The sequence below is a fragment of the Homo sapiens genome, chromosome 7 (genome assembly GCF_000001405.40).
Source record: "Homo sapiens chromosome 7, GRCh38.p14 Primary Assembly".
NCBI classification, from domain to species: domain Eukaryota; kingdom Metazoa; phylum Chordata; class Mammalia; order Primates; family Hominidae; genus Homo; species Homo sapiens.
The window spans coordinates 139,115,625-139,140,804 of NC_000007.14; the positions used below are offsets into that span (position 1 = coordinate 139,115,625).

At 42.0% G+C, this 25,180-nt stretch overlaps 1 protein-coding gene across 9 annotated transcripts in view, besides 6 other annotated features; it reads left to right on the top strand.

Moving 5' to 3' along the window:
- Positions 2,537 to 2,596: an enhancer, noted in NCBI's record as "active region_26749". NCBI's record gives its function as "activates an Ori minimal core promoter by ATAC-STARR-seq in GM12878 lymphoblastoid cells {active_cell/tissue: GM12878}" and the evidence as "EXISTENCE:reporter gene assay evidence [ECO:0000049][PMID:35858748]".
- Positions 2,667 to 2,996: an enhancer, noted in NCBI's record as "active region_26750". NCBI's record gives its function as "activates an Ori minimal core promoter by ATAC-STARR-seq in GM12878 lymphoblastoid cells {active_cell/tissue: GM12878}" and the evidence as "EXISTENCE:reporter gene assay evidence [ECO:0000049][PMID:35858748]".
- Positions 3,137 to 3,226: an enhancer, noted in NCBI's record as "active region_26751". NCBI's record gives its function as "activates an Ori minimal core promoter by ATAC-STARR-seq in GM12878 lymphoblastoid cells {active_cell/tissue: GM12878}" and the evidence as "EXISTENCE:reporter gene assay evidence [ECO:0000049][PMID:35858748]".
- Positions 9,399 to 9,693: a silencer, noted in NCBI's record as "tiled region #4033; K562 Repressive DNase matched - State 2:TssF". NCBI's record gives its function as "represses a minimal TATA promoter and a strong SV40 promoter by Sharpr-MPRA in K562 cells {active_cell/tissue: K562}" and the evidence as "EXISTENCE:reporter gene assay evidence [ECO:0000049][PMID:27701403]".
- Positions 17,979 to 18,273: an enhancer, noted in NCBI's record as "tiled region #8039; HepG2 Activating DNase unmatched - State 1:Tss, and K562 Activating DNase unmatched - State 1:Tss". NCBI's record gives its function as "activates a minimal TATA promoter and a strong SV40 promoter by Sharpr-MPRA in HepG2 and K562 cells {active_cell/tissue: HepG2 | K562}" and the evidence as "EXISTENCE:reporter gene assay evidence [ECO:0000049][PMID:27701403]".
- Positions 17,991 to 18,170: an enhancer, noted in NCBI's record as "active region_26752". NCBI's record gives its function as "activates an Ori minimal core promoter by ATAC-STARR-seq in GM12878 lymphoblastoid cells {active_cell/tissue: GM12878}" and the evidence as "EXISTENCE:reporter gene assay evidence [ECO:0000049][PMID:35858748]".
- The window catches only part of IFT56 (intraflagellar transport 56), a 58,209-nt gene continuing 51,182 nt past the window's right edge, over positions 18,154 to 25,180 (top strand). For 7 of the 9 annotated variants that reach the window (NM_001318333.2, NM_001321740.2, NM_024926.4 and 4 more), the window contains exons 1-4: positions 18,154 to 18,236; positions 19,031 to 19,168; positions 22,223 to 22,315; positions 24,266 to 24,380. Coding sequence is in view for 8 of the 9 variants with exons in the window: in NM_001321740.2 (NP_001308669.1) it covers positions 18,234 to 18,236; positions 19,031 to 19,168; positions 22,223 to 22,315; positions 24,266 to 24,380 (349 nt within the window). In the remaining variant the exon portion in view is untranslated. The remainder of the gene's footprint in view (positions 18,237 to 19,030; positions 19,169 to 22,222; positions 22,316 to 24,265; positions 24,381 to 25,180) is intronic. The other 2 variants (NM_001287513.2, NM_001144923.3) reach the window with 2 other exon arrangements.

Genomic DNA, 25,180 nt, shown 5'->3' on the forward strand with positions numbered 1-25,180 from the left:
CTGTAAAGGCTTGTTGCTATGCATTCCATATGAATATGAACTCTTTCTGATCCTCTTTCTTGATTGCAATAGAAAAGAATGCATTCACCAGATCAATGGCCTCAAACCACTTCAAACTGCATAAATCTGCTCTGGCAAAGATGCTATATCCAGTACAGAGCTACTACTTCCTTGCGGTAGTCTGAAGTCATTCTCTAGGAACCATCCCATTGCTGCAGGGTCCACACTGGCAAATTAAACAGAAACATGACAGGGACCATGCTTCTTCATCCTTTAGATATTTAAGAGTGGCACTAATATCTGCCATCCTCCTCACCCTAGACTGCAATGCTATTTTGTAGTTACCACATTGGCTGGGGTGGGGGACAGTTTCAGATACTTCCACTTAGCCTTCCCTACTGTGATAGCTCCCACTCTACAAAACCAGGATGAATGTGAGAGTTAGCCCAATTCCCAAGTGTGGCAATCCTAACCATATATTTGGGGATTAGGAGAAGGACGATTGGTGGGTTCATGGACCCAGAGAACCCACTGTAAGCTGGAACTCAGTCAGGACTCCATTTGCTCCCACTCTAACATGGAAGCGATGAGAATGCTTCAGTTCTCTGGGCATCAGTTGACCTCTGACCTTGTACCCAACAGTCACCAAAATGTCTGCATATTCCCCCATCCCGTGTTCCATCACTGGAATAAATATTGTAGATCTCTTTAGGGGAAGAATCAGAGGAACTGTGACAATACTTTCTTGCCACAGTGTTACAGGTCCTTCATCTTGGTGACTTGGCCACCACTTCACTCAGTGGGTTCTGAGTCTGAACATTGGTTCAGGAATGGAAACCAGGCAAGGAAATGTTTTCCTCATTGTCCTGCTTATTAATTCTTTTATTTTAGATTATACATGTGAAGCACGACAGATGCTCCTTGACTTCCAATGGGGTTATGTCCCAACAAATCCATCATACATTGAATATACTGTAAGTAAACAATGTATTTAGGCCAGGCACGGTGGCTCATGCCTGTAATCCCAGCACTTTGGGAGGCTGAGGCAGGCAGATCACTTGAGGTAAGGAATTTAAGACCAGCCTGGCCAACATGATGAAACCCCACCTCTACTAAAAAAAAATACAAAAATTAGCCAGGCATGGTGGCTCACACCTGTAATCCCAGGTATTTGGGAGGCTGAGGCAGGAGAATTGCTTGAACCCAGGAGGCAGAGGTTGCAGTGAGCCTAGATCACCCCACTGCCCTCCAGCCTGGGAGCAAGACTCTGTCTCAAAAAAAAAAAAAAAAAAAAAAAAAAACACCAAAAATGTATTTAATACACCTAACCTACCAAATATCATAGCTTAGCCTAAGCTACATTAAATGTGCTCAGAACACTTACATTAGCCTACAATTGAGCAAAATCATCAAACACAAAGCCTAGTGCATAACAAAGTGCTGAATATCTCATCATGTAATTTTTGAATTCACTACACTGTATAGTATCCGTTGTTTACTCTTGTCATTAGGTAGCTGACTGGGAGCTGTGGCTTGCTGCCACTGCCCAGCATCAGAAGAGGGTATCATATGGCATATCCCTAGCCTGGGAAGAGATCAAAGTTCAAAATTCAAAGTGCAGTTTCTACTGAATGCACACCATGGTGAGGCAGAAAAATCATATGTTGAGGGCCATTTGGACTTTTTGACTACCCACGCGTCTATGTTCTTCCTAGAGAAACTGTGTGCTATTTACAATCCCTACAACTCCCTAAAAGTCAGGTCCTGTTAGCTGCCACTCTGATTTTGTCATTCCGCCCTTAAGTGCCATCATTCTGGTGTCCAGTGCATCAGGAGCCCATCATCTTCATTGCTATCAGTGAGCCAAGTTCCAGGACAGCCCCTCCTTCCATCAACTATGTTCTACTGGGGAAAGCACCACTGAACTTATTAGCGACGTTGCTGTCCCTCTCACCAATGCGTTCCCTATGGCCTTGATGAATATGGCTCCTTGAGCGATCCTATGGGACATAATCCCCGGGTGGCTGTTCTGGCCTAACCTTACATCTATTTCAGCATGTCCCCTTTTCTGAGTCTTTTAATCCTTTCCTCTACTGCCTGACATAGCAATTTAGGCACTTCAGACTCACTCTTCATGAATCAGCACTTTTCCAGGATTCAGGGAGCCAACCTAGCAGCAATTTTGTACCATCCCCTGGTTCTTATCAGGATGCTCAACCTCGTATCCTGAGATGTGCCCTTATGTCAATAAATTCTCCTGTATACAATCTCATATTATTCCAGCTCACTTGACAGACCAGTTCTCTCAGAATGCTGAAGTTGGAAGTCAAAGTGTATGAAGTAAAGAAATAAAACAATTGAGTATAGAACATTCATTTTAGAGGATTGACAGGGAAGGGAAGGGAATGGGAAGGGAGGAGAAGAGAGGGAAAAGATTGTTCCGGTAATGAGAGGGAGAATTTTTTTTGTTCAACTGATACTTGCCCGTGTTTTTATTTTTTTGTTTTTGTTTATTATTATTATTGTTTGTTGTTATTTTACTAGAAGATCTGGGTATTTTTGAAAGTTTCAATGAAATAGATCTGAGGAGAGTGCAAAGCTGAAGTTGCTAGGGCATGTTAGGGTGACATTGAGCCATATGAACCTGTTGAAGCACCGATCAGAGAGGGAAGCAGAAAACACACAGGCTGCAATGAGTCAGCTATGCTGTAATGAGTCAGCTATGCTAAATCATAGAAATGAAAAGTACATAAACATCAGAGAGTTGAGTCAAATTTGGACATTTGGAATGTCCGAAGTCCCTGCCAAACAGGTGTTCTACAGGAGATATGGGAGTCGAGAGAGGCATTAATCAAATGGTCAGACAAATGGAGGAAGGCTGCAGTCGGGGGCAGGCACCAGGGATTTCCCTACCTCGAACCTGCATCACTGCAAGTGCCTCCGGGAGTACTGTACTGGCAAGGGAAGGAATTGCAGGTATACTTTTAGAATTGGAAAAGGGCCATATTCCTCTCAGAGGACTATTTACAAACTTTGTTTTCGTGGTGTTAAAATGAGGCTGCAACCCCTCTTCCCGTAACATATCTGAGAGCAGAGAAAATGGGGATGTAGAAATCCAGAGGTGGGGTTAACTTGGTGACAATGGCCTGATGTGGTAACCAGCTGGCTCCCAGTGGGTTTTACCCGCAGGTATTTGTAACTTTGTGCACCCTTCCACACTAAACAGCACAGATCTGTGTAATCAATAGGATACTGTCAAAATAACAGTGTGACCTTCAAGACTAGGTCATAAAACCACACTGTGGGTTTCTCCTTGCTCTCTCTTGGATCCCTTGCTTTGGGGAAGCCAACTGTTACGTTGGGTGGACACACAAGCAGCCCTAGAGAGGAGTCCATGTGGCAAGTAACTAAACCCTCCCACCAATGGCCAGCACTAACCTGCCCAGCATGTGGGTGAGCCAGTGGGAAGGGGAGCTTTCAGCCCCACTCAAGGCATCACATGACTGCAGCCCCAATTAACTGTGACCTCACCGAGACTCTGCGCCAGAACCACCCAGCGAAGCCACTCAGCAGGAACTGAAAGAGATAAGAATGTTGATTGCTTACATTATACTGCTTCATGCTTATGTATCTGGTGAGTCTTAAGAAAATCAGTGAGGTAAGTTTAATTACCTCGACTTACAGAGGAGAACACTGAAACTCAGGTTAGCACACATCGGAAGCAGCAGAGGCAGGATTCAAATCTGGGTCTTGCTGACTCCAAGGCATACAACCCTATGTCACCTTCAGTTCTTGCTAGCAGCTGCCTTCAGCACTAGAGGAGGAAGTGAACCATGTAACACAACAGGGTCTGGCACCTCAGCAGCTAGCTGACATAGAGGGGCCCTCCTTACAGGGCTCCCTGCATTGGAACACCTGATATTTTCCCATTAGCATCCTTTTATGTTTATATTGCTTTCTGATTTCTCAATTATCTTTCTGCCAAATAAACGGTTACACTAGCAATTACAAGCTGAAAATTATTTTTATAGCATTCTCACACAAAGCCACTTAGTTTTTTTTGTTTTTGTTTGTTTTTGAGATGGGGTCTCTGTCACCCAGACTGGAGCACAGTGGTGCAATCTCAGCTCACTGCAACCTCTACCTCCCGGGCTCAAGTGATTCTCCTGCCTCAGCCTCCTGAGTAGCTGCGATTACAAGCACACATCACCACGCCCAGCTAATTTTTGTATTTTTAGTAGAGATGGGGTTTCACCATGTTGGCCAGGCTGGTCTCGAACTCCTGGCCTTAAGTGATCTGCCCACCTCAGTGTCCCAAGTGCTGGGATTGCAGGCGTGAGCCACTGTGCCCAGCCCAACAAAGCTACTTCGTTTTAACTGCTATGAAGATAAGTTACCAGGAAGGACATAGTGGCTCAGGCCTGTAATCCCAGCACTCTGAGAGGCTGAGGCAGGAGGATTGTTTGGGCCAGGAGATTGAGCCCAGTCTAGGCAACATAGGGAAACCTCATCTCTACAAAAAAAATTAAAAAATTAGCCAGGCATGCTGGCACATGCCTGTGGTTCTATCTACTAGGGAGGCTGAGGTGGGAGGATCAATTGAGCCCAGGAGGTTGAGGCTACAGTGAGCCATGGTTGCACTATTGCACTCTAGCCTGGGTGACAGAGCAAGACCCTGTCTCAAAAAAAAAAAAAAAAAAAAAAAAAAAAGAAAAAGAAAAAAAGGTAATTTACCTTTTATATTGAAATAAATATTGACTCCCATATCTTTAACTCATTTCAGTTAAACTTCGGCCATAAAGAAGAATTTGGGAGTTCTCAAATTTCTTTTTAATTTTAGATTACAGAAAATTTCTACACAAAAATAGAATAGTACAATAAATGCCCATGTACTCATCATATAGCTTCAACAATTATCACCTGTAGCTGTCTCGGTCTGCCAACGTACTCATAGTTGAGCCACAACATGGTTATCCCTTAGTACTTATTAAATCGTTTTTTAAAAAGCACCAAAATGTTAATAAGTGTTGTTTCTTGGGTATAAATTTTATAGATGATTTACATTTTCTTGATTTTACTTCTCAGTACCTTCCCAAATTTCCACAGTGAATATGAAGTACTTTTGTAATAAGAGAAAATGCTATTTTAAAATGATTGAAAAAATGTCTTTTTTTCGGCCAGGCGCGGTGGCTCACACCTGTAATCTCAGCACTTTGGGAGGCCAAGGCGGGTAGATCACTAGGTAGGGGGTTTGAGACCAGCCTGACTAACATGGTGAAACCCTGTCTCTACTGAAAATACAAAAATTAGCTGAGCATGGTGGCGGGCACCTGTAATCCCAGCTACTTAGGAGGCTGAGGCAGGAGAATGGCATGAACTCAGGAGGCGGAGGTTGCAGTGAGCCAAGATTGCGCCACTGCACTCCAGCCTGGGTGACAGAGTGAGACTCCGTCTCAAAAAAAAAAATGTCTTTTTTTCTTTTTTCTTTTTTTTAGAGAGGGGATCTCACTATGTTGCCCAGACTGGAGTGCAGTCATTGTTCACAGGCATGATTATAGTGTACTATAGCCTCGAACTCCGGGGCTCAAGGGATGCTCCTGCCTCAGCTTCCTGCATAGCTGGGACTACAAGTGCATGCCACCTCACCTGGCTTGAAAAAAATGTATTTCTTTAAGGAGTATATTTTCAAATGCTTGGTCCAGGAGTCATTCTTGTTCTTGCTTGGAACAAGCCATCAGTAATCCTTTCCCCATGATTTCATATAGTTCACTAAGAGGGAGCAAAAAAAAATTTGGGCTTTATTTTTGAGACAGGGGCTTGCTCTGTCATCCAGGCTGGAGTGTAGTGGTGTGATTATAGTTCTCTACTGCCTTGAACAGGGCTCAGGGATTCTCCCACCTCAGCCTCCAGAGTAGCTAGGACTATAGGTGCACACCACCGCACCAAGCTAATTTTTTATTTTTCATAGAGCTGGGGTCTCACTATGTTGCCCAGGCTGGTTCTTGAACTCCTAAGCTCAAGCAATCTTCCCACCTCTGGCCTCTTGAAGTGCTGGGATTATAGGTGTAAGCCACTGTACCCAGCCAAAATATGGTTTTTAAAGCCTTCTCTTTTTTCAGAAGGAACAATCTCTATTAAGAAAAAACAAAACATTCTTTTGTTTTTTTGGCAAGGCAGAATATTTGTAAACCTAGCAAACAAAAAAAGAAAAAACTGATAGCCCTCAAACAGAGCCAATGAATAGATTTACTGTGGCTCTGTAGCAGAGAGTGGAGGATTCTTCTTTTCATGAGATTTTTTTTCCTTAAGGAAAATCAACCCTAGCAGGAAATGCCAAAACTTAGTGCCTTGGCATACCTTCAGCAACTCATGGCCCCGGTCAATGACAGAGACATGATTTCTACAGTGATTTCTAAGGACCTAGGGTCAGCATCACTGTGTATCAAGGCTGAATTGGAGAAACATAGACTCCAGAGCAGCACTCTAAGCTCTGGGCTGGATTATCTTTAAAATAAACAAACAAACAAAACCAGATTTAGCAAGACACAATTTACTTACTGTTAACAAAAAGAGTCAAACTCTGTAAAATAATTGAAGAGATTTATTCTGAGCCATATATGAGTGACCAATGGCCTGTAACACAGCCCTTGGGAGATCCTGAGAACATGAGCCCAAGGTGGTCAGGCTACAGCTTGGTTTTATATATTTTAGGGAGACATAAGGTATCAATCAATACAGGTAAACTATACATCGGTTGGGTCTGGAAAGGCGGGACAATTATAAATAGGGGCTTCCAAGACATAGGCAAATTCAAAGATTTTCTGATTGGCAGCTGGTTCAAAGAGTTATTATCAATAGAAAGGAATGTCTGGTTTACAATAACGGGTTGTAGAGACTGAGGTTTTATCATGCACATGAAACCTCCAGGTAGCAGGCTTCCGAGAGAATAGATAATAAATGTTTCTTATCAGATTTAAAGAGTCTATTCTATCCGTAATTCCAAAAGCAAGGAGGATATAATGAGGAATGTCCAGCTCCCCCGTCCCATCATGGCCTGAACTAGTTTTTCAGATTAACTTTGGAATGCCCTTGGTTGAGAGGAGGCATCCATTCAGATGCTTGTCGGGGTGGGGTGGGGGCTTAGAATTTTATTTTTTGTTTACAGTACTATACAATTCACCTATTCAAAGTGTATAATTCAATGCTTTTTTTTTTTTTTTTTTTGAGACAGAGTCTCACTCTGTTGCCCAGGCTGGAGTGCAGTGGCATGATCTCAGCTCACTGCAACCTCCACCTCCCAGGTTCAAGTGATTTTCCTGCCTCAGCCTCCTGAGTAGCTGGGATTACAGGTGCACACCATCATACCAGGCTAATTTTTGTATTTTTAGTAGAGACGGGGTTTCACTATGTGGGTCAGGCTGGTCTTGAACTCCTGACCTTGTGATCCACCCACCTCGGCCTCCAAAAGTGCTGGGATTACAGGCATGAGCCACTGCGCCTGGCCAATTCAATGCTTTTTAATAAATTTTTATTGTCATACAATCATCAAAACCTGGATTATGTTTTACAGTCCCTCAGAATCCACTGCTCCATTGCAGCTGCAATGAAATTGCAAGTTCCAACTTTGCCTGTTACCTATGCAACCAGGTTTTGTGTGCCTATGTTATATGTTTCATAATACCATTAGAGCCGTAGTTCGGAATAATAACTTCTTCTCAAGTACACTCAGTGTCATATTCTGCCCTTCATAACTACAGCTACAGTTCAAACAGCCTCTACCAGGATTTAGAGATTTAAAGCTATACCTAACTGTTGGAAGTCAGTGGTCATTTCAATTGATTTAGGAAATTCAGCAGGGTTGTTTATAGTATCATCAACCCTTCAGACCCTGGCAAGAGAAGCCCCTGCTCTGGGCTCTGTACTGTGGCCACATCCTAAGCCAGGTATGAAAAGTCCATGGAGTTAAGGGGTCATTGCACCTCTCCTGACCATGCTGTGGTGCCCAGGACTCTGAATCCCCCGCTGATGCAACCCCAAGCCTGTTTCCACACCTGAGCAGGTCTCTTCCTGGGGTCTGTTCTCCCTATAGGTCTATTAGGAAATGACAGATCACAGATGAGTTGGGTGACTACAGCTTGAATTTGTGGGCTGGGTGTCCACACACATGCACAAAGCCCTACATAGTGTGGGTAGAGAGAACCTGGAGTGAGAAGAGATGGGTTGTGGGCTGAGGGTTGTGGCTGGATCTCTTTGCATTGCCACATCCACAACAGAATTTTGAGAAGTCCGAGAATTCTAAATTGGAGCCTGACCTTCTTCATAATAGTATATTTGTCAAGGTAGGAGGATAAAACATTTTATTGAACAGTTTGCTAAGCTGATTTAAAATTTTCCAGCATTTAGCTATATGGTATATGGACCTCCACATGTATGATTTCATTTATATTAAATGTCCAGAATAGACAAATCTATAATGACAATAAAGAGATTAGTAGTTGCCAGAGGCTGGGAGGAGGGGAGAAACAATGAGTGATTGCGGACGGGTGTGGGGTTTCTTTCTGGGGCGATAACAGTGTCCTGGAATTCAATAGTGATAATGGATGCACACTGTGAATATACTAAAAGCCACTCACACTTTAAAAGTGTGGGTTTTATGGTAATTTGAATGATATATCAAGCTATCACCAAAAATACACAATGGGAGTTCAGAAATGCCACCCCAAACTATGATGATTTGACATGCTCATTACTTTGAACTGATGTCACTTGGGGAAAAACAGATGCAGGCAGAGACTTTCTCTGAGATCTGCTTATCTGCCTAAGACAGATCAAGGGATCCTCCAAAAGGAACTCAATTGTCATGAATCCCCTCCCCTGGAACCTTATCAACCAGGGACAATGAACTTAGATCAGAGAGGGGGAGACTGGAGGTTGACATCATGCCTAGACAGCCACCTCTTCTTCTGAGGGCTGCTCCAAGAGAACCTTTATTACTTGAGAGGCTTCTCATTTGCATAACAAGAAACCTTTGTTCACCATACACTTCCTCCCCTCATATTCTCATAACTGGTGTCACCACCACCCACGCAGAAGTCCAAAGCCTCTATTCCCTTCTGTACCTCAGGGTGCTATATAAGCTTCAATCATCTGACCCTTCTTTGAATCTCATATTTTGTGGGCTTGCATGGGTATGTACATAATTAAAAATGGATTTCCTCTTGTTAATCTGTCTTATGTCAGTTTAATTCATAGCCCAGCCAAGGAACTTAGAAGAGTAGAGGGAAGTCATTTTTCACTCCCCTACAAGAACATTCTGCTGTAAAGAGGAGCTAGAAATAATTTTTGTTTTAAATTCAACCAAACATAGGGATAATTCTGAAATTTGGAACCAAAAGAATTATAAGTACACTACTGGTGAATTTGTGCTTATCTGAAATCTACACATGTAGCTGTCTTTATGTATCTCTGTATATCGATGTTTTTCTATATATATAATCAGTGAAGTAAGATATCTAGTCATTCATTTACTCACCAAGTGATTGCAGTGGGGTGACAGGGACAGTGGGGGGTGTGGTGGCGGGTTGCCAGAGCATGAGGAGTATGCAATAGAATCTAAGAAATCATACCTACCTGGCCAGGCACAGTTGCTCATGCCTGTAATCCCAGCACTTTGGGAGGCAGAGGCAGGCGGATCACTTGAGGTCAGGAGTTCCAGACCAGCCTGGCCAACATGGTGAAATCCCATCTCTACTAAAAATACAAAAAATACAAAAAATTAGCTGGGTGTGGTGGCACATGCCTGTAATCCTGGCTACTCTGGAGGCTGAGGCAGGAGAATGGCTTGAACCTGGGAGGCAGAGGCTGCAGTGAGCTGAAATTGTACTACTGCACTCCAGCCTGGGTGACAGAGTGAGACTCCATCTCAAAAAAAAAAAAAAAAAAAAAAAATCAGACCTGCCTTCCATGAGCTCATGGTATACTTGAATCTCCATAGGCTAGTTATTCAGGAGGGTATGTAATGTAACTCAACAATGCACAATTACTTAAATTCGCTCAGGAGAATTACCTCATTTTGCCCAACTTGTTACTGTGAAAAAAAAAAAAGAAAGAAAATTTCAGGACCTTCCAAATTTATTATGCCAAAGGGAAAAGTCAAGCCCTGGAAACCAAGTCATGTAACACGGCTGTTTTTCTTCTCTGGTGCATGACTGTTGCTTCCTGATCTTTTTGTTGATGTTATACATTAACCAGCCTCTCTATTCTTTATTCAAACCTAGACTAAATGACGTTGGAGACGGAGACTCTTGTGATTGTTACCTCTTTACAACAAAATGTTAAACAACCCCCTTAGAGTGTAAACAACAGTAGTGAATTAAATCTTCTGTGTATATTAGCCTTATATAGAAAATGCTGGCCGGGCGCGGTGGCTCACGCCTGTAATCCCAGCACTTTAGGAGGCCGAGGCAGGTGCATCACGAGGTCAGGAGATCGAGACCATCCTGGCTAACACAGTGAAACCCCGTCTCTACTAAACACACACACACACACACACACACACACACACACACACACACACACACACAAATTAGCCAGGCAGGCACCTGTAGTCCCAGCTACTTGGGAAGCTGAGGCAGGAGAATGGCGTGAAACCCGGAGGTGGAGCTTGCAGTGAGCCGAGATGGTGCCACTGCACTCCAGCCTGGGCGACAGAGCCAGACTCCGTCTCAAAAAAAAAAAAAAGAAAGAAAGAAAAGAAAAGAAAATGCTGTAATATGCTGTAATTCTGTGCAACACACTTGTGGTTGCCTACATATACCACCTTCACCTTTCCCTACATCGCGGAGCACTGATCACCATTCTTTCTTTGGTGTCTGTGTTTACCTGATGGCCACTCTCACACTTTGCACTTGAATAAACTCTTTTAACTGGATCCTGAGCTGTTTGATTATATTAGATTGACATTTTGATGATCCAGAGACTCTAAGCGGGCCTCCTGAGATCTGTGCCTCTTTGCTGACATTCGGAGCTTTGGTGTCTACAGGAGCGGCTTTTGCTCATCCCACCTCATTGGAACTGGCAGGGGGCTCTGGCAAGGCTTCCTCTCAGGTTTTGAATCTCCCTGGCTTTGACTGAGATTCACACTTTACACAAGCGATCCAGTTCTATGCTCCACAGAGCTGGAATTGAAGCTGTACTTTAAGATAGAAGTTTTGTTTGCTTATTTTGTCTTTCACAGATTTATGACATTCACTTTTCTTTGAGGTTAAGGTTTGTTTGTTGAACTACTTGCTACACTTTGTATGGCCCTTTCGGTCATTCGAATTTGGTCAGAGGACAAAATAGGTTCTCTCTCTGAAAAGAGAAAGTGAATGTATGTGGCTTTAGGTAAATTTGTGGTTTTAGGCCAGGCCCAGTGGCTCACACCTGTAATCCCAGCACTTGAGAGGCTGAGGCAAGTGGATCACTTGAAGCCAGGAGTTTGAAACCAGCCTGGCCAACATGGCAAAACCCCATCTCTACTAAAAACACAAAAATTAGCCAGGCATGGTGGCATGTGCCTGTAATCTTAGATACTTGGGAGGCTGAGGCAGGAGAATTGCTTAAGCCCAGGAGATGGAGGTTGCAGTGGGCCCAGATCATGCCACTGCGCTCCAGCCTGGGTAACTGAGTGAGACTATGACTCAAAAAAAAAAAAAAATTGATTGGACCCAGGTTGGTGACCCAGGTTTTGGAGCTCAGTAAAAATTGACATTTAAGTTTAATTCTTGAGTGACCAAAAATTTATAAACAGGGTTCATATGAGGACATAAGTCCCAAATACAAAAGACCTTGTTCCTCCCAGAAGAAAAGCACCTTAGGTGATTGAGGTCATGTAAGAATGTCAGAGTCCATAGCTTGGGATGTGTAACTATGCTCTAGGGAAATCTCAAAGAAGAATATGCAGGGAAATCTGCTTAACTCGGTGGGCACACATAAGGGGTTGGGCTCCCAGTACCTAAAACCCCCAGAAATTTCTGGGTTTCATTGGGACACATAAGAGGGGAGAGGTGACTCATGGGTGAAACCTTGAGGAGTAAAAACTATTAAGCAGCACACTAGACCCAAAACGTCTTTCCCTTTCAATCTTTGGTCAATTTAAAAGAGGATACAAATTATGGACAACTGTTCATCTAAAACAAAGTCCTCTTTAAGGGAGGACCCACTTTTAGAAACTCCAGCTAAATTTATGTACAAGACTTACAGTGCCACCTCCTGTATATATATACACACAACCTAACAACCTACATACATAAATATGTGTGTATGTGTGTCTGTATGTTTTATGAGGCAGGGTCTCACTCTGTCATCCAGGATGGAGTGCAGTAGTACGATCTCGGCTTACTGCAACCTCCACCTCCGGGGCTCAAACAATCCTCCCACCTCAGCCTCCCGAGTAGCTGGCACCACAGGCACACCCCCATGCTGGGCTAATTTTTTCAGTTTTTATAGAGACAGTCTCACTACATCATCCAGGCTCATCTCAAACTCCTGAGCTCAAGTGATCCTCCTGCTTCAACCTGCCAAAGTGCTGAGATTACAGGTGTGAGCCATCGCACCTGCTACCTCCTGTCAGTATTGGGAAAAATGGTCTTACTTGACCCAAGAAGACCCTGAATTACAGTGGCCAAAGTAGGGTACTTGTGAAATGCCTAAGTTAGTTTGCTCACATGCACAATTAGAAAAAGCCAGCTCCAGAATTAAACAATATAATTTGGAGAGTTATTTCCAATGCTACCCAGAAGCATGCAAAAGAGGCTGTGACAGAGTTCTTTTCCTATAGAAAGAGAATGAAAAGCCTCTAAAACTTTTATTCAGAAAAGCTGCTGAAACTGCTGCTTCTCCTCCTTCTGCTCCCCCTTCTCTCTATCCCTCCTTATCACAACTACCTTGCCCAGACTGACCTTCTCTTCCCTCTCCTCCCCTTCCACCTGCTCCCACATTTTTGGCTTCATTTAATGAACATCCAGCATCTGGTAGAGGGAAACCTGCTTTAGTTTATCAACCATGGTCTAAGGTAGAACTTAAAGGCATAGTTAAATAATTCCCCGACCTTAACCAGGATCCTATTTGTTTTGCTAGGGAATTTGAATTAAATATCTGAGCTTATGGCCCTGGTTATTCTGATTTATATCAACTAACTCACATGTGACTATCAGAAAGTAAAGCTAAAGATTAGACAGACACAAATTGTCCCTGTTTGCAGATGACATGATTGTATATTTAGAAAACCCCATCATCTCAACCCAAAATCTCCTTAAGCTGATAAGCAACTTCAGAAAAGTCTCAGGACACAAAATCAATGTGCAAAAATCACAAGCATTCTTATACACCAATAGCAGACAGAGAGCCAAATCATGAGTGAACTCCCATTCACAATTGCTTCAAAGAGAATTAAATACCTAGGAATCCAACTTATAATGGATGCGAAGGACCTCTTCAAGGAGAACTACAAACCACTGCTCAACGAAATAAAAGAGGACACAAACAAATGGAAGAACATTCCATGCTCATGGACAGGAAGAATCAATATCGTGAAAATGGCCATACTGCCCAAGGTAATTTATAGATTCAATGCCATTCCCATCAAGCTACCAATGACTTTCTTCACAGAATTGGAAAAAACTATTTTAAAGTTCATATGGAACCAAAAAAGGGCCCGCATTGCCAAGACAATCCTAAGCCAAAAGAACAAAGCTGGAGGCATCATGCTACCTGACTTCAAACTATACCACAAGGCTACAGTAACCAAAACAGGATGGTACTGGTACCAAAACGGAGATATAGACCAATGGAACAGAACAGAGCCCTCAGAAATAATACCACACATCTACAACCATCTGATCTTTGACAAACCTGACAAAAACAAGAAATGGGGAAAGGATTCCCTATTTAATGAATGGTGCTGGGAAAACTGGCTAGCCATATGTAGAAAGCTGAAACTGGATCCCTTCCTTACACCTTATACAAAAATTAATTCAAAATGGATTAAAGACTTAAATGTTAGACCTAAAACCATAAAAACCCTAGAAGAAAACCTAGGCAATACCATTCAGGACACAGGCATGGGCAAGGACTTCATGTCTAAAACACCAAAAGCAATGGCAACAAAAGCCAAAATTGACAAATGGGATCTAATTAAACTAAAGAGCTTCTACACAGCAAAAGAAACTACCATCAGAGTGAACAGGCAACCTATAGAATGGGAGAAAATTTTTGCAATCTACTCATCTGACAAAGGGCTAATATCCAGAATCTACAAAGAACTCAAACAAATTTACAAGAAAAAAACAAACAACCCCATCAAAAAGTGGGCGAACGATATGAACAGACACTTCTCAAAAGAAGACATTTATGCAGCCAACACACACATGAAAAAAATGCTCATCATCACTGGCCATCAGAGAAATGCAAATCAAAACCACAATGAGATACCATCTCACACCAGTTAGAATGGCAATCATTAAAAAGTCAGGAAACAACAGGTGCTGGAGAGGATGTGGAGAAATAGGAACACTTTTACACTGTTGGTGGGACTGTAAACTAGTTCAACCATTGTGGAAGACAGTGTGACGATTCCTCAAGGATCTAGAACTAGAAATACCATTTGACCCAGCCATCTCATTACTGGGTATGTACCCAAAGGATTATAAATCATGCTACTATAAAGACACATGCACACGTATGTTTATTGTGGCACTATTCACAATAGCAAAGACTTGGAACCAACCCAAATGTCCATCAATGATAGACTGGTTTAAGAAAATGTGGCACATATATACCATGGAATACAATGCAGCCATAAAAAAGGATGAGTTCATGTCCTTTGTAGGGACATGGATGAATCTGGAAACCAGCATTATCAGCAAACTATCGCAAGGACAAAAAACCAAACACTGCATGTTCTCACTCATAGGTGGGAACTGAACACTATGACACAGTGAGAACGCTATGACACAATGAGAACACTTGGACACAGGAAGGGGAACATCACACACTGGGGCCTGTCATGGGGTGGGGGGAGGGGGGAGGGATAGCATTAGGAGATATACCTAATGTAAATGATGAGTTAATGGGTGCAGCACACCAACATGGCGCATGTATATATATGTAACAAACCTGCACGTTGTGCACATGTACCCTAGAACTTAAAGTATAAAGAAAAAAAAAAAGATTAGACAGACAAGGCCCATTATAGAAATCTCTTAGAAGACTTTCATAAATGCTCAGGACTGTAGGCAGACACACAAAACTGCAAAGGCATTGCTTCAAGCCACTCCTCACTGTTTCTAAGAGTAGTTGACTGTAGTAAAATACAACAAGGTCAACAAAATCCAGATGAGTCAGTAATATCATATTTTGAGAGGTGTGAGTAAACTTAAACAATATTCGGGTTTATCTGAAGAAAGCTAAGCTAATAATCAAAATGATATTCTTCTCAACTCCAGTTTTATAAATAGGTTAGATGAAGAATTAGCACTAATAATGAAAAGACAAAACCCTCGCTGGGCCACTTCTCAAAATCATAATTTGGTCAGTCTTGCTGCCCAGTTGTCTCATAACTGAAGACAAATCTGAGAAGGAGGCCAAACAAAAGAGCAAGGCTAATAAAATTATGATTTTACAGTCGAAACAAATGTCCACACAATTTGGACCTTCAAGATATCCTTATAAATCCGCAAATAGACTTAACCATACACTTTCAATTAATGCAAAAAGCCTGATCACATTAAAACGAACTGCCAAAAACTAAAAAGGAAAGAACAACAGGTGGAGTCAGATAATAAAGAATGGGGGTGCTCCATGGAACTTAAAGGGGCCTTTCCTTTTCTCCTTACACTCTGAGAGAAAAGAAATTGTTTAAAACTCCCCTTACTGTTTTCATCCCTCATTCTGTGGAAGCATTGCTAAACTTGAACCACACTCAACGTTATTCAATGAGTAGACTAACTTCATAGAAAGTTTCACTTCTTTTAGCTTCTCATGTCACCATCTCTAGATGTAACAAGCTAAATATTGCAACTCTTCTTCCTTCACTTTCAGATGAAACACCACACAATTGCATAACTCTAACTGATAAACTTGTTTTCTCCTAGGACTGATCTGCAAGAGACTTTTCTTACTTAGGCTAATGTTGTTTGGTTTACAGACGCATGTTATTTAAAGGATGAATCTGGAACTTACTGTAAAGGTTTACGCAATAGTGTCTTTAACAGAAGAAATAGAAAGTGCTTACCTTCCAGAAGCCACTTAGATTCACTTCTGTCTTTGTACCACAACTGTGTATTGAAGATGTCATTTGCCATGTACAGGCCCTAACCAATTACACACAAAAGGCCCTAAATAACAGCCACATGAATGTCTCATTATTAAATAATGAAGTTACTGTCATGAGAAGACTGTATTACAAAACTGTATGGTCTTAGACATACTCACTGCAGCCCAAGGAGGAATCTGTGCTATGACAGAAACTGAATGCTGTGTTTATATCCCAGATGAATCAAATAACGTCACCAAATTAATAACTGATTTGAAAAACTCTAATAATTAACCTTTCGGATCCAAAACCCTCTCTAAGCTACTGGTTAAGTAATTGATTTGGATCTTGGGGAACTTGGTGGCAAAAGCTGTTATGTATTTTAGGAATTATCATAGTTTGTGTTTTGTCTTGCCTTTGTCTGCAGAGCTGTTATGGTATTTATCTGCAATTGGGTCAACACACAGCTGAGAAAATGTGTAGAACAAAGACTACTCAGAGAATTGTTTGATTGAAGAGGCAGCCGTGTAGCCTGAATCAGGTTCCAGAACTACTTTCTCTTGTTGCTTTATAATTCGGACTTGGTCCTTTCCAATTTCCCCTCCTCCCTGGGATGTGACTGCCAGGAAGGGGCCTTCCTAGTGACATGAGGTTTGATCAAATACACGGCCTGAGAATATAATTCTTCTATAATGCTTTCTCTGAAAGCTTTTGAAGAAAAGGGGAAAATGTGAAAAGAAAATTTCAGCACTTTCCAAACGTACTATGCCAAGGGGAAAAGTTAAGCCCTGTAAACTAAATCACAGAACATGGCTGTTTTTCTTCTCTGGTGCATGACTGTTGCTTCCTGATCTTTGTGTTGATGTTATATATTAACCAGATTTTTTATTCTTTATTCAGACTAAATGACGTTGGAGATAGAGACCCTTGTGATTGTTACCTCTTTACAATAGAATATTAAACAACCCCCTTACAGTGTAATCAATAGTAGTGAATTGAATCTTCTGTGTACGTTAGCCTCATCTAGAAAATGCTGTAATTACGTACAGCACTCCTGTTTTTGGTGATATAAATGACCCTCACCTTTCCCTGCATCAGGGAGCACTGATCACCATTCTTTGCTGTCAGTGGTTCCCGGGATAGCCGCCCTCACACTTTGCACTTGAATAAACTCTTTCAACTGGATCCCTGAGCTTTTTGGTTATTTTAGGCTGACATTAGTTAACTAACAAGATGTTAGTTCTTCAGTCTGTTAATTCTGAGGGGTTGACCAGAGGTCCTGTAAGGTCCCTTCCAACTCTAACATTCCACGATTTCGTGAATTTAAAGACTGTGGTTGCCCCTGTATTAACTGGGTTCAGGAGTAAGATAGATAAATTAAGTCATCCAATCGACAAATATTTATTACAGTTCTCTATTGTGTGTAGGTGTATCTGTGGAAATAGGAAACTGTATTTTGGTGCACTCCTGCTTCCAAATCACAGAACTACAACTCCTTCAGCAGAAATTTTCTAAGCTTCCCGCACCAGCCAGAGACCAAGATTCTGCGGTGCACATAGTCAAGGGTTGCTATGGAGTCCAACACGGCCCCAAACAGAAGTGGTCCCTGAAAATTTCTTTCCCAGAAAACTTGCATTTGAAAAACAATGCCATTCCAATTCGCCTTTTCCTAAAGTAAACTCATAAATAGAGACAACCAAACTTTCGCTCTCAGCCCAGAGAACGACGCTCTCCTCCCAAGAGGAACCTCGGCTCTTCCGCGGCAGAAGCTGCACGGAACCAAGAAGCCGCGGGCGCTGGTTCTCCAACGAGCTTTTCTCCCGTTCGTACCAGCGTCCAGGCGGGGTTACCGTGGAGACAGAACGTGCTGTGTGGATGCGGCGAAACGCTGAGGCGCGGCCTTCGCTGTGTGGTGGGGACTCACAAGACCGACGTCAAGATGGTTAGTGGCTCTGAATAGTAAGGGAGTACTTTGAGTAGGTCCTGAGGCTGGCGATTAGAGGTTCCCAGCACACTTCTGTGTGAAGTCTAGGTGTGTCCGCAGAGAGTAATCCCCAGCTCTCCCTGTGTTCCCACGGGGGACAGGGATGCAACTGTAAATACCTCGGTGCTTTCTTCCCTCCTGCTTTTCCGTTTACTCACATTTAAACCACTCGTGGGATGGGAAGCAGAGGAAGGGAAAGCTGAGATGACAGAAGCAATGCGAAAGCATCTCTAGCCAGAGAAGATAAAAGTTGGGAGTAGCTGTTTGGTCCTTCCTAAGTATTGGCTGATGGCTCTTCTAGTAGAATACCTGTTACAAAACGAGTTTGAATAGGCTTCCCTGGGGTTCGTTGTTAAGGATTTGACTTATAATTTTTTTTTTTTTTTTGAGATGGAGGCTCGCTTTGTCGCCCAGGTTGGAGTGCAGTGGCGCGATCTTGGCTCACTGCAACCTCTGCCTCTAGGTTCAAGCGTTTCTTCTGCCTCAGCCTCCCGAGTAGCTGGGACTACAGGCGCATGCCACCACGCCCGGCTAATTTTTGTATTTTTAGTAGAGATGCGGTGTCACCATATTGACCAGGCTGGTCTCCAACTCCTGACCTCGTGATCCGCCGCCTTCGCCTCTCAAAGTGCTGGGATTACAGGCATGAGCCACTGTGCCCGGCCTTGACTTATAAATTACAGAGCTGTCACTCTCAGTTTAAATCTGATAATCAGAATTGGACCATACAGCTGTCTTTGTTTCTTTTACAGATGCTTTCAAGGGCCAAACCTGCTGTAGGCAGAGGCGTACAGCACACTGACAAAAGAAAGAAGAAAGGTAGGAAGATTCCAAAACTAGAGGAGCTACTTTCAAAAAGAGATTTCACTGGAGCTATTACCCTGTTGGAGGTAATGCCCAAAGAACGTTGCTTCTTAGTGTATGAATACCAGACTGTAGATGAATGCTTGGGTGAATGCTGTTTGCTATGCTCTTGAAATAGGTGGGTGCATTCTGGGGCTTCCTGTACAAATCCCCTGTAAATCTAGTCAGGCACAGATTCCAGATTCCAAGTTAGCTATAAACCTGATAAAAAACGAACTAAAAAACTAAACTTGGCCGGGCGCGGTGGCTCATGCCTGTAATTCCAGCACTTCGGGAGGCCGAGACGGGCAGATCACAAGGTCAAGAGATCGAGACCATCCTGGCCAACATGGTGAAACCCCGTCTCTATTGAAAATACAAAAATTAGCTGGGCATGGTGGCACGTGTCTGTAGTCCCAGCTACTCGGGAGGCTGAGGCTGGAGAATCGCTTGAACCCGGGAGGCGGAGGTTGCAGTGAGCCAAGATCATGCCACTGCACTCCAGCCTGGCTACAAGGCGAGACTCCGTCTCAAAAAAAAAAAAAAAAAAAAACAAAACAAAACTTATTTCTTGAGGGCCACTTTTGAGTATGTCTAGTTCACCAACAGTGATTACAATCTAAAAATATGAAGGGACCTTTTATACAATGTCATTTCACACATTGCTTATCCCAACCCTTGACCAATGTATGATTTTTTCCTATTATGTGTTCTAAAATTTTGATCAAACTTAAATAATTCTAACATGCTTACGGTTGAAAATATAGCCCCAGAAAATATTTCAAATCTCCATGGCAGTAGTTCTCACCTTTTAATATACATTGGAATTACCTAGGGTACTTAATAAGATATCGATTCCTGGGCTCCTGCTGTAAGTCTGCAGAGGTGCTCAGGAATCTGCATTTTAAGGTGAGTAGTCTAAGTGCTTCTGATGGAGATGGTCCCAGGAGACTGTGCTTTAAAAAACTGCTTTGTGGGAAACACATGTTATAGGAGGGTGAAGGGTTGCACCAAAGAATGAAGAGTTCTGACAGCATGGTCTGGTTGTGTTGTACCACACTCATTTCTCTTAAAATGCTACTCTGTCCATATTACTCTGAATCTACCCTTAATAATTGTTATAATTAGGTTTACATATATTTCTCCATCTTCCACAAATAGTTCACTTTCTTTTTTTTTTCTTTTTTCTTTTTTTGAGTTGGAGTTTCACTCTTGTCACCCAGGCTAGAGTGCAATGGCGCAATCTCAGCTCACTGCAACCTGCACCTCCCTGGTTCAAGCAATTCTCCTGCCTCAGCCTCCTGAGTAGCTGGGATTAGAAGTGCCTGCCACCATACCTGGCTAATATTTTGTATTTTTAGTAGAGATGGGGTTTCACCATGTTGGCCAGGCTGGTCTCCAACTCCTGGCCTCAGGTGATCCACCTGCCTCGGCCTCCCAAAGTGCTGGGATTACAGGTGTGGGCCACCGCGCCCGGCCTAGTTTGCCTTCTTACTAAGTACTCTGGTGTTGAGCGTGTTTTTTAGCTTTTTGGGCATCAGCTTTCTCATCTTTACAGTGGGGGAGTTGGCATGGAAGAACCTTCTAGTTCTGTGAATCAGTGGACTGAGTGCTATGTATATATCTATTTTCATCAGTCTGTTTTCCTCTTTTTTCTCTAAGACAATGACCACATTTTCCTTGTTGCATAACACCAGGTTGCCTTTATTTTATTTTATTTTTGAGACAGGGTCTCATTCTGTCACCCAGCCTGGAATGCAGTGGCGTGATGGTGGCTCACTGCAGCCTCAACCTCCCAGGGCTCACACGAGTCTCCCACCTCAGCCTCCCAAGTAGCTGAGACTACAGGCACGTGCCACTATACCTGGCTAATTTTCGTTTGATTGGCTATTTGTGTGTGTGTGTGGAGACAGGGGTCTCACCATGTTGCCCAGGCTGGTCTTGAACTCCTGGGCTCAAGGGATCCTCCTGCTTCTGGCCTCCCAAAATGCTGGGATTACAGGGCCAGACTGCCTTTAAGTTGGCAGGGAGGCTCTGCTCTTTGCTCACATTCTTAGGTTGTTAGTTGGAGTACCCTGCTGCATGGGAATGGAAACTGCTATGGTTTGGGGAAGGAAGTCTCATGTGCTTTCCTGTAGCTCCAGGGAATTCAGGGAGACCTCACATGAGAATTTCTCTAGAATTAAGGCATGATACTCAAATTCATAGCATTTGGTATGAGGAGGATTTCTAATGTTGTAGAGTTAGCTACAGGAGTAAATTCTTAGCCCAGACAAGAAAATATCAAAGGGATGTCTTCATCTTGTAATGACTGAGGCACCTGAAATTCTATAGTGATGCTCCATAAATATGTGTTGGCTCACTATTTGATTTATCACCCTGTAGAGTGAAAAAAAAAATCTTATCTTACCACGGAAATTCAGAATTCTCTGTCAAGGTCTCAGTCTTTTCCTCCAAAATAAGGCTTTTCTTTTGTTGGCTGAGGAATTCATAAATATTTGTTCACAATGGACATAAGTGAGGCCAAGTCTTCTGAACATCCTTAACTCTTGTAGGCCTGGTAAGCTAGCCTGCTCAAGGGTAATAGAAAGATTCTCAGTGAAAGGTTACAACCTATTAGTAAATATATGCGTGTGTTAATGCAACAGGACTCAAGTGGGAAGTTAAATGCAGTAGAGCACGGAGGGTGACAACACGGGCTTTGGAGTCAGGCATTTCTTTAAGTCCCTGCCAGCACACATACTGGCCGTGTGGCCTTGAGTTCATGGTTCAGCCTCTCTAACCTTCAGTTATTTGGCTCTAAATATTTTACATAATTCTCTTCCTTATATATCACCCAGAATTGTTAGGCAACTCAAATACTTTCTGGAGTATAATATCAGTAAATACAGAAAGCCAAATATGAAATACTTGAAAATATAAATTTCTGTGACAATTAGAAGATACTTGTCCTGTAGGTATAGGTTTAATTAAACCTCATATTGTCATGCTTCTAATACTTAGATTGCCTGTTGTCAGTAACCCAACGTAGCATTTTTTTTTAAACAGAGAGTTTACTATTCAAAATTTTCATGTTTTTTAAATACATTTTTAACCTGAAGTTCAAACGTCATGTTGGGGAAGAAGAAGAGGATACTAATTTGTGGATTGGATATTGTGCCTTTCACCTGGGTGACTACAAGAGAGCTCTGGAGGTTAGTGTAAAAAAAGTTTTTTTCCTAACAGAACTGTGTTTAAAATGTTATTAAACTTTATATTATAATAATACATATTCATGGTAAAATTCAAACAATGCAGAAGGAAACAAAGAGAAGTTACCTATTTGCATTCTTCAATTATACTTGTTAATGAAGGTAACCAGTGACTTTTTAAAAATTTATGGCTTCAGTAATCGTCTAATGTTAATATGTCCCATTACAGTAGTTCCCCCTTGTCTATGATTTTGCTTCCCGAGGTCAATCTGAGTTACCCAAGGTCAATCTCAGTCTAAAAATAGGTGAGTACAGTATAATAAGATATTTTCAGAGAGACAGAGCAAAAGAGACCACATCCTCATAACTTTTATTACCATATAGTGTTATAGTTCTGTTATCCATTATTGGTGTTAATCTCTTATTGTGCCTAACTTATAAATTAAACTTTATCATAGGTGTGTAAGTATAGGAAAAAAACATAATATATATAGGATTCAGTACTATCCAAGATTTCAGGCATCTACTAGGGATCTTTAAACATATCCCCTGTGGATAAAGGAGGGCTACTGTATATGTACATGTATCTTGTGTACGTTTTACTTTTACATGCATACCAATGAGATTGTACAACATATTGGTGTTAGCATTTATTAAGTCAATCTTCAGAACAGGAAAATTAAGCCATTTTGATAAAAACTTTCATGAGTCTTCTCTCAAGAGAATTTCACTTTTCCTTTGCTTGGTTATTTTTAGACAAAGGAACAATTATATTTATATTTTTACAAGTAGAATTGTTTTGGGGAAATTGTTTTTCTTGGTCATTGTAAACCCTACCCATCTACAATAATTAATCAATGGGATTATGGATTTACTTTTTTTTTTTTTTTTTGATACGGAGTCTTGCTCTGTCACCCAGGCTGGAATGCAGTGGCACGATCTCGGCTCACTGCAACCTCCGCCTCCCGGGTTCAAGCAATTCCCCTGCCTCAGCCTCCTGAGTAGCTGGGACTACAGACATGCGCCACCATGCCCGGCTAATTTTTTTGTGTGTTTTAGTAGAGATGGGGTTTCACCATGTTGGCCAGGATGGTCTCGATCTCCTGACCTTGTGATCCGCCCGCCTCGGCCTCCCAAAGTGCTGGGATTACAGGCGTGAGCCACTGCGCCCAGCCACATTTCCTACATATTCTCATTCCCAAGATGTAATCTAAGCAAATTTGAAGAACGTTCATAACTAAAATGAAAATATTCAAGGACAGTTAATGAGGAGGCGAGATGAAGAACAAAGGAACAAAGTTGGTGAAGGAAAAGGGAAGGTGTGAAAAGGACAGAATAGAGGATGCTAGTATTCGTAAAAGGCATAGGAGGATAGAAAGAACAACCCACTTGTAGTAAGAAAATGAAATAAAGACACCTGGGAAAGACTGATAAAAAGTGAGAGTGTATGGAAAATGTCGTTAACAAAGTGAGTCTTAGAAAGTGTCCTTGGCAGGAAAAACAAAACATTTAAAAAATCTGAAGGCTCCCTCAATGCCAAAAAAGCCAGAAAACAATTAGAATGAAATGAAACTTGGAGTGTATTAAAGCCATCAGATTTTAAGTTAACTGAACGTGTGAATTTCTTAAAGGGTATCTTGTATGTCTTTTTAAGTTAGCAGAAATAAAATAGTTCAGTTACTTTTTGTTTCTATTGTTTGTTAGTCCCTATCAGTATTAACTGGGGGACAAAAACCACAAGTATAAGATTATATGGACAATAGTCCTGCAGATGTAGGACTGAGCTTTAGCTTCAGTATTTAACCTTTTCAGAATAGAGTAATTGCAGAGCATGTAGGATTCCCTAAATGTGAAGTTGCTTAATCTCAGTATGAAATCCTATTCCATTGTGGAAGAATGGCCCATCAATTGCTTTGCTGCCAAAATGAGATCACTGCTTACTATATATTTCAGGAATACGAAAATGCTACAAAAGAGGAAAATTGTAATTCTGAAGTCTGGGTGAACCTAGCTTGCACCTACTTCTTTCTTGGGATGTATAAACAAGCTGAAGCAGCTGGATTTAAAGGTAAAGGGGCTCTTATATCTGATATTCTTCATTCATAGTTAAGAGTTGTTTTGAAGATTTTAAAACTTAATTGTATTCCTTTTTCTCTTGAGAAAAAAAAAATTGATATTAGAAAGCTAAAAAAATAGCTTTAGTCCTCAAAGAATATTGGATTTGAGTAACTATGTTTAAAGAGAGAGTTAGTGCTACACCCCACCAGGCTACAGCCAAAAAGCAGAAGGACAAAAGAAGAAAAAGGGCCAGGTGTCTTTCTTAGGCCCTATCACGGGAGGATGGGCATGCTGTTGGTGGTATTTAGGTATAGTTTTATTCAGGCTCTTATGGCTGTGGACTTTATCGCTGCTTTTCCTGTTTCTAAGTGAGAAACCCAGCAATTTCAGTTTGAAGAATCCAGAAATCATCCCTTCTGCTTTCTTACATATGATATTCATCTCAGGGCGATTGTACTCAAATTTAAGAATAAAAGGGAAACATGGTAGAAAAAGTTAAAGATGGCTGGGTGCGGTGGCTCACGCCTGTAATCCCAGCACTTTGGGAGGCCAAGGTGGGCAGATCACCTGAGGTCAGGAGTTCGAGACCTGCCTGACCAACATGGAGAAACCCCATCTCTACTAAAAATACAAAAATACAGAAGGTGGTGCATGCCTGTAATCCCAGCTACTTGGGAGGCTGAGGCAGGAGAATCACTTGAACCCGGGAGGCGGAGGTTGCAGTGAGCCCAGATCGCGCCATTGCACTCCAGCCTGGGCAACAAGAGTGAAACTCCACCTCAAAAAAAAAAAAAAAAAAAAAAAGTTAAT